Below are 12,794 nucleotides of genomic sequence, written 5' to 3' on the forward strand. Positions count from 1 at the left end.
GGGTGACAGAGTGAGACTCCGTCTCAAAAAAAAAAAAAAAAAGAGATGCTTAACTTTCTCTTAGGAATTGATACATTTTCTTCCTTCTGATAATGAGAATCAGATAGCTGATTCTGTTTCTCTCTTATCTTTGGCTTCATGAAGTTTAAAGCCAAGTTTGAAACTTATCTATAGCAATTTAAGTTAGTTTTATGGTTCGAATATTTACATTTTTCTTTTTTTCTTCCAATATATTCTTGACGCAAACTGTAAATGATACAAGGAAGGAAAGAAGGGCAGAAGGGGAAGGACAAGGACGGAGACAGACGAGGAGAGGGAAACAACCTGAACAGTACATGCGCATAACAGCATGTCTAGCAGCCCAGCCCACACAGAGGTTTCTGGCTGAGATGCCTGTCTAAGCCAGGCCTGGTAAGAACCAGCTCATTTTAAAATGGAATCTTCTGGGTAATCACCTGTCCCCCCCTTTTTTTTTTTTGAGATGGAGTCTCGCTCTGTCGCCCAGGCTGGAGTGCAATGGCATTATCTCGGCTCACTGCAACCTCTGCCTCCTGGGCTCAAGTGATTCTCCTGCCTCAGCCTTCTGAGGTGGCTTACAGGATTACAGGGGCGCATGGCACTATGCCCAGCTAATTTTTGTATTTTTAGTAGAGACAGGATTTCACTATGCTGGCCAGGCTGGTCTCAAACTCCTAACCTCGTGATCCGCCCACCTCGGCCTTCCAAAGTGCTGGGATTACAGGCGTGAGCCACCACGCCCAGCCTCACCTGTCCCTTTTAACAGGACTGTCAAAAAATCCATGAAAAGCAAAACTAGATTTGACTCTGTATTGTGCATCACTGTCATAATTACCTGTAAACATCAAACAGACATTTTGTTTTGGGTGCTTGTTTTAAGAAGCTGAAAGAACATAGCTTGAGCACTCCCTTCTCCCTGATTCCAGGTGGAATTTTAAACACTAGCAAGTTAAAAAATAAATAACCATCTAAAGTGCTTTATGAAACAAAAAGAAATAAGGTGTTATAAAATGCAGATACACCAAATGCCACAATATCATTCTTAGAGCATAATATTCTAAATATAGCAGCACTTTCAAGGGTGAACTTTACAGGCAGAAGGTAGTGTCAATTTGTCAACTATTAGGTCTCATTAAAAAAAAACTGCATTTCTACTCAGCAAGATTCACATTTAAACGATTCATAGCTATGCAGCTGTCAGTCTTCTGACAGCTTGTTAAGGCCAATCATGAAGTAAAGTAAGGCAAAAATCCTGCTGCTCCTGTGTCCACATCTAACATCAGTGGTATCCTGAGACAGATATAGGCATCATTCTCTTCCATGCCACTTGCCATCACCCCATCTTGACCTCCTCTTGCTGAAGGGCCTGGGAAGGCAGCAAGACCACTAAGTATGCGTACTGAGGTCTGGAAGCAGCACAGAAATGAAAGAGTGGGAGAAGGAACATGATTCCCTTTGTGGGGCAGGGCACAGGTGGCCATGCTCTCTGCACAGGACACAATGAGGGCCTCTGAGAGAGAAGAGAAAGTGTTGGAGGCCTGTAGAAGGTGAGCATTTCTATGGAGATTCTTTAGGGAGGCCTAGTTTGTGGCACGAGGGGCCATGTGGGTCCCAGGAGAGAATGAAGCAGGAGGCTGATTTGGGTTCAAAGTAGAGAGGTTAAAAATGTCCCTGTCTCAGTCTAGATTGTCTATACCAGCAGACCAGGTAGGAAAGGAGGCAGGGATTTGGGCTGACATTCTCTAAGAATAAAAGCATACATTTGGCTGAGTGTTCCTTGTGTACTGTCTGGGAGCCTGAATGCAACAGAAGACAGTGAGATGAGGCATTTCAGCAGCAGGAGGTGGCCACTAAAGTGGGGAGTTTAGATTCTCTTTAAAATTTTCTGATTTTCCTGGATGATACACGTAAGCATTCAAATCCTGTTCCGGGACCATTCAGATAGAAAACAAACAGAAACTTCTGGAATAAGATGTGGGGTATGGTGGTTACAAGCACAGGCTTTGGAATCAGGCAGCCTGGGTCTAAAATGTGACTCCCAGATTCTCCCACTTTGCTGCTGTGGGTTTTAATTGCCTCATGGGGATCATACCTAACTTTTAAGTGCTGTGAGGGCTAAATGAGGAAGTATCAGTAAAACACTCAGCACAGGCTTGGTATAAAATAAATAACCAAATAATAGTTGTCAGAAATTATAAAAATGATGATAAACTAAATATTCAACTCTTCATGTTTACCTGGGTGCGCTTAGCACTGCCAAAGTTGTAGCAAAGAGCAACAAAACAACTAAGTCCAAGATGGTGGTTGCCTTCTGGCTGTAACACTGAAATCTGAAACTTAGAATTAAGAATCCCGAAACCTCAGAGAAACCGTTATTTCAAGGGATGGGTTAAGGGCTCCAGATCCACAAGCGGAAAGAAAAGACAGAATGCATCTGGAGGGTCTTAGTGTTAAAGGTGCTAAAAATGGAAGCTGCAGAGACGGCCTTCTTTCAGTTCTATAAACATTCAGGCACAGAGGTTTGGAATTTCAATCAACAGAGGATCATAAATACAAACTGTAGACCTAGAAAACCCTCATTACTCCTATAATTAAAAACAATTGACAGGAACACTACATTCTAGTTATTGACAGTTTTCTTCTTCCACTGCTCCTCATGCTAAAAGATCCATCAGAACACAGCCCCTATCTCCTGACAGCTTTCACTGCCCTTTCATTAAGCCTAGCTGGAAATGAGCTTCCAGCCGAGAAGACTGTGGACATCATCAGGGACAAGCTGTCCCTTCAGGAGCAAAGGTGGTGAGGCCTGCCTGAAGGCAGGGTCTGTGCCCCTGAGCTGGTGAAGAGCATTTGCTCCCTTTTCTGCCCTTTGCCTCACAAAGATCTATACTGACAATGTCAAGGGTCACAGCTTTGTGGCCTCTGGCCAGGAGAAGCTGAGGTAACAACCTCACAAACACTACTTAGGGAATAATGCCATGCTGCAGAGAGGTGGACAAAGACGGGGTCTCTATAGCTCTGACACGTGGGTCTTGTGTAGAAATACAAATCACCCAGGGGCAAATCACTAATGTCAAAAGCTTTCAGAGGCAGCATTCTCTACTGAGTATGAAAAGATTCCCGCTGCCTGAGAAACTATAATGTAGACAGTAAAATGTAAATATATGCAAGAAGCTTGCTGGCTTACATAAATAGTCCACTAATATCACCATCAAGAAGAAAGTGCCCCCTGGCAGATGGCTGCATGATGGGGGAAGGGAGCACCTACTAAGGCCTGTGTGTGTGTATGTATGAGGGCGTGTGCATGTGTGTACATGCTGGGTGTGGTCTGGACTCAAACTCCAGCTGGCACTGTCATCTTCCATTATGAAGGGACCCCTGAACTGAGCCCATTGCCCTCCCCTGCAGCCACTGCCCCTAATTGGAACTGAGGCCCTCTGTGGCTATTGCAACCTACTGGCTTTTGGCTGTTTGGCTGCCTGTTTTTCTTGTCAACTCACGCCTGCTCTTTATTGGGTAATGTTTTAGTACATTTTTTTATTACTTTTTAGCTCCATGGTTATTTTCAAATGGGAAAAACAATGCAAGAGAGATTTAAAAATAGTATTTGACTTTTCTGACTATAAAAATAAAATAAGGCAGAAAATTTAAAAAAAATAAAAACCCTAAAAAAAACCCCAAGTGACAATCTTAGTCAAAGATATTTTCATGTTTTTCCTTTTTGTCTTTTATTCTCCATTCAAACAAATACTTTTATTCATTTATTTTATATTTTGGGACAGGGTCTCACTCTGTCACCCAGGCTGGAGTGCAATGACCCAATCACAGCTCACTGCATCCTTGACCTCCCTGAGCTCAGGTCCTCCCACCTTAGCCTACCGAGTAGCTGGGACCACAGATGTGCACCACCATGCCTGGCTAATTTTTCTATCTTTTGTAAAGACAGAGTTTTGCCATGTTGCTGAGGCTAGTAGATGCTATTATTTTAAAAATAGTAGAGGTCGGCTGGGCATGGTGGCTCTTGCCTGTAATCCCAACACTTTGGGAGGCCGAGGCAGGCAGATCACCTGAGGTCAGGAGTTTGAGACCAGCCTGGCCAACGTGGTGAAACCCCGTCTCTACTAAAAATACAAAAATTTGCCGGGCATGGTGGCAGGGGCCTGTAATCCCAGCTATTCGGGAGGCTGATGCAGGAGAATCGCTTGAATCTGGGAAGCGGAGGTTGCAGTGAACCATGATCATGCCATTGCACTCCAACCTGGGGGACAAAAGCGAGACATCATCACACACACACAAAAAAACAATAAAAAAAATAGTAGAGGTCATACCATATACTGCTTAGTCACCTGTTTTACCTAGTGATGCACTAGGGAGTATTTTTCATTTTACCAGATATTAACTAATAATATTACTGTTAATGTCTGCATATATTTGATCCTATGAATTTAGCATATTTTATTCAGGCAATCTCCTACTGACTACCATTCAACTGGTTTTGGTTTGATTGAGAGTCTTTGGTGAGGAGACCCATGAACAAGTGCCAAGGTCTAACTTGGATGATGCCTATTCTTTGTCACAGCCCACAGCACAGATGGAAGAAGTGCACATATTAATAAGAGTAAGCTTTTCACTGCAACTGCTCAGGACTCATTTTAAAGAAGAGACAGATCTCTAACAAGATTTTGCAGGTAGGTAAAACAGAGGGCCTATAATTAGGTTATTAGAATAAAGATGGCTCTGTACTGATTTACTCCTCTCTAGGAAGGAATTTGGTAGGACCCGCCACATGGGTAAGCTTTCTCAAGTCAATTCTCTTTACATGACAACTGCAAAGAAGCTGGCAGGGCCAGGGCTTTCCCAACAATGGTGCGGGGCAGAGGCCGCAGCACATGCTCACATCTCTCTTCTTCTCATCTGATAGGACTGAAAACATTCTTTGTAGACCAGGGCTGGATTTGAACCCCTTAATATATTATACTTCTGTTTTATTTCTTGATCCAGTTAATCCTAATCCTACGCTTTTTATAAAATAGTTGTATCAGTCCCATCAAACAACTGAGAAAGCACTAGGATTAATTCAGTAGATTTCTGTAGATTCAATATAAATATAGAAATATAATGGTATATAGAAAAATACCTCTGTTGGAATTTTTCAATTAACTCAAGCTATGAAGGATACTCCATAGGCAAGAAACAATTATTCTTATGTGCCTGAGGCCTTGGGAGCTAAGACGTCATCTGCAGGAGGAACCTCAGAGATACCAGAATCCCAAGAGAAAAGGGTATAAATCTTCACAGTTTGTGGAAAGGAAAAAACTTGGCTCCCTGTCACTAGAGCAACTAAAGTTCAAGAGTTAAGGGCCTCGTGAGAAATCTGAGAAATGGCTGGATGCAGGCCATGAGTGGGTCATTAAACTAATTTAGTGGGTTAAAATAATCAAATGAAATAGAAATGTTAGAGGTTATCACATGAAGTAAGGGTACTTACTATTTCATGAACCATACATATGGGTGTCCATGTATATGTATATAGATTTGAGTGTGTTCATGTGTTTGCATACAAGTATATGCCAAATATCAATAGAAAGTATCTTTTACTGTGGGTCATGGTCAAAAGTTTGAAAACTGTTACGCCATAAGAAGCTAGATATAAAAAAAAAAGTAGAACTATTAAAATTATACATTGATCAAGCGATTCTTGATTCTATAAATAGGTATTAGAAGGTGTCACCCAAACTTTAAATGTTCCTTTAGAGATTCTTTCTCTCATGTGAGAATTGGAAAGGGTTGGCAGAAAATTTCCATCTTAAATGGCTTAAAATAGATGTCTTAAGTGAAACTTATCCTCAGACCTTGTATCTCCATACTATGACACAACTTTAAGAGTGCTTACATGAAGGTCATCCTGCCTCAGCAAACAGGAAACTTAGCACTATTTTTTTTTGGGGCGGGGGGTGTGGGTGGTGGGCGGTAAAGGGTCTCAGTCTGTCACCAAGGCTGCAGTGCAGTGGCACAATCTCGACTCACTGTAACCTCCAGCTCCCGGGTTAAAGTGATTCTCCCACCTCAGCCTTCCAAGTAGCTGGGACTACAGATGTGTGCTGCCATGCCTGGCTAATTTTTGTACTTTTTGGTAGAGATGGGGTTTCACCATGTTGGCCAGGCTGAATTAGCATTATTTTATACATGCACGTGCAATAATGCAATAAACAACTAAACATGGGACTGGGGCTATAAAAAATAATAGCCTAGGCCAGGTGTGGTGGCTTACACCTGCCATACTTGTAATCCCAGCAGTCTGGGGGGCTGAGGCGGGCAGATAGCTTGAGCTCAGAAATTCAAGACCAGGCTGGGCAACATGGTGAAACTTTGTTTCTACAAAAAAATATAAAAATTAGCTGGGCATGGTGGCACACACCTGTAGTCCCAGTTACTCAGGAGGCTGAGGCGGGAGGATCACTTGGGCATGCAAGGTGGAGGTTGCAGTAAGCTGAGATGGAGATCGCACCACTGCACTCTAACCTGGGTGACAGAGTGACACCCGGTCTCAAAAAAAAAAAAAAAAAAAGCCAAATCTTCCTATAGCAATGCTAAATCACAGCTTTTCTCATACCTTTTTCAATAACTAGATGGTTAATATCCTCCAGTATGTTAACTGACTCAGCCAGCCAGGGCAACATTTTATTACCCAGCTAGGATTGCTGTGTTACCATCTTACTCAAGAGTAAATGACTGTACAGGGGTTTTAGTAAAGTAACTTTTATGGTACAAACAGATGACCAATGGATTGGCAACCTCAGGACCTCATCATCCTTCAACTCGCCCATGTTTGGTAGTGCAGAACTCTATAGCTTCAACAAAATACTTAAACAGTTTTAAAAAGATTTGAGCTGATACAAAGAAGGTATCTGAAAGCATTTGTGATCTCACTTTAAGTTTTCCTAAAACTCATCTCTGTACAGATGGGCAGTGATCTTTCATTTGAGAAAAAATAAAATCCAGACTCTTGTGTTGCCATTAAAAAAAAAAAAAGGCCTGTGCTAATTACAAACAGGCGAGGTAAAATATACGGATTCCCTCTCAATCAACAATATTGGATTCTTATATTTCTTATATTCCACCAGAAGTTTCTACTACCAAAGCTTGATGACAGAAGAGAGCAAAGCGATCATTTAAAGGACATACTGCTTATTGATCCTCTAGTTTCCAGTACTGAGTTGGTTTTTAGAAAGCTGCATACCTGTACTCTGTTATCTTATCCTTATTGAGAAATCTTCAACCATTATGCACTTGGATATTATGGACAGTTTATATAAAGGCCTCCCATCTGGTATGCTGTGGTCACAAAATATTATGTTGATCCCCTCAGCCCTTAGGGTTGGCCACCTTTTTAAATGAAAATATCTTCTTCGGCTAGGCGCAGTGGCTCACGCCTGTAATCTCAGCACTTTGGGAGGCCGAGGCAGGCAGATCACGAGGAGAGGAGATCGAGACCATCCTGGCCAACATGGTGAAACACCGTCTATACTAAAAATACAAAAATTAGCTGAGTGTGGTGGCGTGTTCCTGTAATCCCAGCTACTCAGGAGGCAGAGACAGGAGAATCGCTTGAACCCGGGAGGTGGAAGTTGCAGTGAGCCAAGATCGTGCCACTGCACTCCAGCCTGGTGACAGAGCAAGACTCCATCTCAAAAAACAAAATATCTTCTTCTGTTTGTGCTATGATGTAAACAACTTATAAAGTTCTGATTTACTAAATAAACAGCCATATGAATAACATCTCCTTATCTTCTAAAAATCGGCTAGTAAAGACCACAGTCATTACTCAATGTTATTCAACGTTCCTTAAAATCTGAGCTGAAAAAAATCTAAGTGTTCAGCACTGACAAGGACTTTTCTCTCTATTATACTGGTATTCTGTTAGATCATGAATATGAATCAACTCTTGTGTTTCTTTGTAAAGTGATTTCTCCGCTCAGTACTAAATTTTTTGCTCAACTGCATTAGGCTAAGTTACCTATTACATTTATAGTCATTCTCTGCACTTCATCATTGAACTAGATTCTTCTGTTTTTTTTTTGGTTTTTGTTTTTTTTTTTTGTTTTTTTTTTTGAGACAGAGTCTCACTCTGTCGCCAGGCTGGGGTGCACTGGCGTGATCTCGGCTCACTGCAACCTCTGACTCCCTGGTTCAAGCGATTCTCCTGCCTCAGCCTCCCCAGTAGCTGGAACTACAGGTGTGCACCACCATGCCCAGCTAATTTTTGTATTTTTAGTGGAGACAGAGTTTCACCATGTTGGCCAGGATGGTCTTGATCTCCTGACCTCAGATGATCCACCTGCCTCGGCCTCCCAAAGTGCTGGGATTATAGGCATGAGCCACCGTGCTCAGCCATGAACTTGATTCTTTTAATACTTCATTCAATAGTTTTATCATATCCATATCTTGGAATGTAACTTATGACCTGTTAGAAGCAGACTGGGTTAAAAATGATAAATGAACAAATGAACATTTCAGAAAAACTTGTCTATATAATTATGAATTGCCTAGTATTACATTTCTATAAGAATCGGAAGCTAAAAATAAAAAAAAAAATTCTCCCCAAGAAAAGCATAATTTACCAGCTTAATCTTGTGAACTGTGACTAAGAAAATACACATACCCTCTAATTTATTAGTCATTACATAAATATCTATATGGGTTTCTGATTTGAATACTTTCTAAGATGAATCATGAAATTGCCATTGTTGTAGATCAAAAATGGTTGAATATTGGCAATTTTATGAAGTTCAACCTGCACAGAAAGGATTTATTTGCCTGGAGGATATGAATGTATGAACAAAGAATTCGGTCTTACCTGAATGATCTCAGCATCCGATAGGACTTTCCTAAATCAGATACTCGTCTACAGAATGGACCCACAGCCAACTCCATCTGAAATATTAAAATATACTCCATTGTTGTAATGTCAGAATCATTAGGGGAATTTGGGAAAGACCCGGATCACAGAAAGTTGTAGCTTGCAGTAAACTTAATTTTATCTGGACTGTAAGGCAAGTTGTGATGGCCAACTAAATTTATTAAAAGGTAAGCACTTACATAATTTTTGCATTTATTTACTAAGAGGGCCCAAGATGAGACAATTCCTTCATGAAAATAAAAAAAAAACATTTTTTGTTATATAAAAGGAAAAAGTTTATATCATTTATCCATTGAAAAATAAGGAAAAGGAAAATTTTCAAGACTGCATGCCTATACTTTAGGCATTACAAGTCTTTTTACATTCAATATAAATGATGACAATTTTTATCAGTCAGTGTGGCTCAAGTAATTAAAAGGACTAACTCTGGAGCTTTTAGTAGCACATCTATATCAGCATTCCAAATGCTGATACTAGTTACTAGTTTGTGACCCTGGATAAGTTACTTCACCTCTTTAAGTCTCAGGTCTCTCATCTGTAAAATGGAGATAATAATACCTACTTAATAGAATAATGCAAATTAAAAGATAATCCCACAAAGCTTTATGTGCATAGCATATAAGTGCTGTTAATTGTCAGCAATTATTATCAGTGTTTAAAAATTTTTCTCTTTTCAATTATTAATAAATTAATATGCTACCTAACTCAAGAATTTAGCAAATCTTGGTTTCACTTCTCTTTATTTTCCTCCTTTGACTGGAAATTCTACTTGTCATTAATTAGGTTACCTGTTCTTTTCTACCAAGTGCATATGCGAACTTTTTGCATATGTGCTACTCAGGTGATAGACTGCTTCTCCACTCTTGCTATAAATAGCGCCCTGGTAAAGAATGGTTTAGAAAATGGTTGAGAATAGGCTGCTCCCTGATAGTACAGCACCTTTCTTCAAGAAGCACATATGATTTAAGGCTTCTGTCCTGCTGGCCACCCTTACAAAAAATTGCTTAAAATCTCCTTGCCATGGGTACACTATAGAGACCCAATCGATCACTCATTTGAGAAACATTTTGACTGCCTTAGTGCTAGGTACCAAGCTAGATATGAGGATTAGATGATTAGATGATTAGACTATCTTGCCTTCACTAAATTCTCAAATTTAATGAAGGGGATATTTATTTATTAAAACAATATGATTATCAACAAAATCAAAAGTATTTGTGTATATGTCCACATATAAACATATATAAACACACATACATACACACATAATGATTCTTATTAAGCAAAATGATAAGTGCTATGTCAAACTTATGACCTCAGTGTCGAGAGAGTTGGAGAAGCTTCCTTGGGATGGTCTTGAGGATGAACAGTAACCAGGTTAATTTCTCTCATAACATATTAAAGACATGGATTGCATACTGCATGTCCTAGAAGGAAACCTTATATGGCTGGGAAACTATAAAATGAAGAATCATAAATAAATATAAAGATAAAAATGTAAGGAAGAAAAAGGATTCTTGCCAACAATGCAAAACAGAACAGCTGTGAGCCAGTGTGCCCAACTCAAAAGACAGTAGGTGATAGGCTGTTCTTTGGAACCTGTTTCATTTATTCACTGGGTAGGAATTTCTGTTTTCTTTCCATATGTGTCACTTACTTTACACTGAGCACAAAGGAAAAATGTGATTATCACTGTATCTTTGATATAATTCCATTCAAATACCTCTCTCTATATAATGGTTTTTTACATACTGAAATTATATATTTTTCACGAAGTGTTTTTGTCAATTTCTCAACTACTCTAGTGGAATCACTGTCTTCAAAGACAACCTTTGCCTTAGCACTTGAGCAGGACCAAATGTTAAAACAAATAAATGGCTAGGAAAAAGTTACGATATGAGAAAATATGACCTCGAATGGCTGGAAAATGTATGATTATGCAAAAGATTTCTATGCCGCAGGACAATTTCAAAATGTTTAATGTTTAAAATAAAATTTTTTTATCCATAAAGGACCTCTAGGATATTGTAAATCATTTTCTTCTTCCAGAATTCCATTAAACAATAAAGGCCATGTTTTAAAGGGCAAGAGTGTTGTGGTAAGAGGAGGTGACTCTGCCATTAGCAGCGGATACAAAAGTGGCATGTGCAACTGCTTCTCTCCAGCCCCCGTTTGGAGAGAATGAGCGGTCAGCTGCAGGCACGGTGAACTAATTACATAGCTGTTCCTTCCCTACCACAGACATTTGGTTAACCACAGGACTTCTTTGGATACTCCTAGGGTACTCCTGCCCTGACATTGTTCAGGAGAAGAAAAGGCAATAGGAATTAGAACAAAAATTAGAATTTTGATTGTCTTGTTTTCTTTTCTAAATTAATATTTTTAGGCACAAAGTGAAATAGATATAAATGTATGCTTAAAGGGCACCAGAAGACCTATAAATAGAAATTGCTAGAAGTACCACTAAATAATTTAATACCAACTTCAATAGCCACTCTTTCCTTCAGCTAAGAAAATAAACTGAGGGGTGGAGGGGGAGTATGTGCTTCAGAGGACACTGTGGGCAAGATCCCAGTGAGATTCAGAATCAGCAGAACCCCAGTGTCGTGGACAGGCTTAGTGATTTCAGAACTGCTGTGTGATCAGTGTAGGCACTGAGACCATGTGGTCACAGTGGGGAATTAATTACCTGTAGGAAACCACCTCGTGCCCATGACCTGGATTCCTAAGGGGGCTGGATGTCAGGTACTTCCCTCACCATGATCCCTCCAGATGGCACCCTGCAACTACTTTCTCTTTCCTGCACTGGTGCCAGTGAGGAGAAGTTAGGATTCTTAAAGAAATCCTGAAAATACGTCATTATCTCTCTTTGCAATTGGACTTTACGGCAAATAACTAGTATTCCCAAACCTGGTCTATAGGTCCCTTCTTGAGCTCTTTTTGTTATTTATGCTAGAATGGCAGGCACTTTTATCACAAGAACAGTTTTTAAACCCATGGAGTATTTGTGTATTTTTGATTTCAGTGACCTCAATGGCTTTAATTTTGAATATGAATTGATAGAACTTTCAGTAATAAGGCAGTTGAAAAGCCCTCTAGTCCCCAGTTGATGCCTGTCATGAATATAAATGTTAGAGTAATGCTATTTAAATGTTTTGACTGACCCTCGAAAAACACTTTCAACCAAATGTGATGCTAAAAGCTGAGGTACAACAAATAATTGCAATTGTGGCAAGAAACCAAACCAAACGAAATAAAACCTTGAAATTTTAATTTTAATTTAAAAAGTGGGTGGGGGAGACCATGACATAACAGTAGAACAATATTTGCCAAAGATAATGATCACAGATATGATTAATTATGATAGTGCCTCCGCCTGTCTTTTCTGTACCCATGATCCACAGGACTGGAGCCATCCCCAAGGTGAGTGTCAGGATGTTTTGAAACTGGGACACACTGTACAGGGGTGAACAAAGGAATCTGCTTTTCAATACCACACTGCCTGCTGCAACCAAATGTCACTGCAGGGCTTAACAGTGAGTAAATGCTGTGTGTGTAAATGCTTCTTCTATGTTTAAAAAACAGGAAACAAGAGGCCTTTGAGCATAAGTTAGTAATAATGACTGATGAGTTTAATTTACCTTAAGGGAAGGGACCCAGAAAAGTTTGGCTTATTAGACAACATGTCTTAAGAAAAAAGGATGCCAAATAACATTTTGAATAATGCAGTTTTTTGAAAGGTGGAAGCTCACCCCTGCCTCTGGATGCTATGCATTTTGAGCAGGTGTTAGCGGCAGTAGCAAGGGTTAAAGGACAATACTTTCCATCTTTCAGGACCCATAAGGGAACATATTAA

General features: G+C 40.0%; 1 protein-coding gene and 1 long non-coding RNA gene across 10 annotated transcripts in view; one reads left to right on the plus strand and one right to left on the minus strand.

Annotated features, from left to right (window-relative positions):
• COG5 (component of oligomeric golgi complex 5) overlaps positions 1-12,794 on the minus strand; it is a 362,549-nt gene that overhangs the window by 20,368 nt on the left and 329,387 nt on the right. For 8 of the 9 annotated variants that reach the window (NM_001379516.1, NM_001379515.1, NM_001379511.1 and 5 more), the window contains one exon: positions 8,876-8,952. The exons of the other annotated variant lie outside the window; for it this stretch is intronic. In NM_001379516.1, the coding sequence (NP_001366445.1) occupies positions 8,876-8,952 (77 nt within the window). The remainder of the gene's footprint in view (positions 1-8,875; positions 8,953-12,794) is intronic. 9 annotated transcript variants of the gene reach the window in all.
• On the plus strand, positions 323-12,473 carry LOC124901721 (uncharacterized). Its single transcript, XR_007060472.1, has 3 exons — positions 323-411; positions 4,598-4,706; positions 12,343-12,473. It is a non-coding gene; the product is annotated as an uncharacterized LOC124901721 (long non-coding RNA).

The sequence above is a fragment of the Homo sapiens genome, chromosome 7, assembly GCF_000001405.40.
Source record: "Homo sapiens chromosome 7, GRCh38.p14 Primary Assembly".
NCBI lineage: Eukaryota > Metazoa > Chordata > Mammalia > Primates > Hominidae > Homo > Homo sapiens.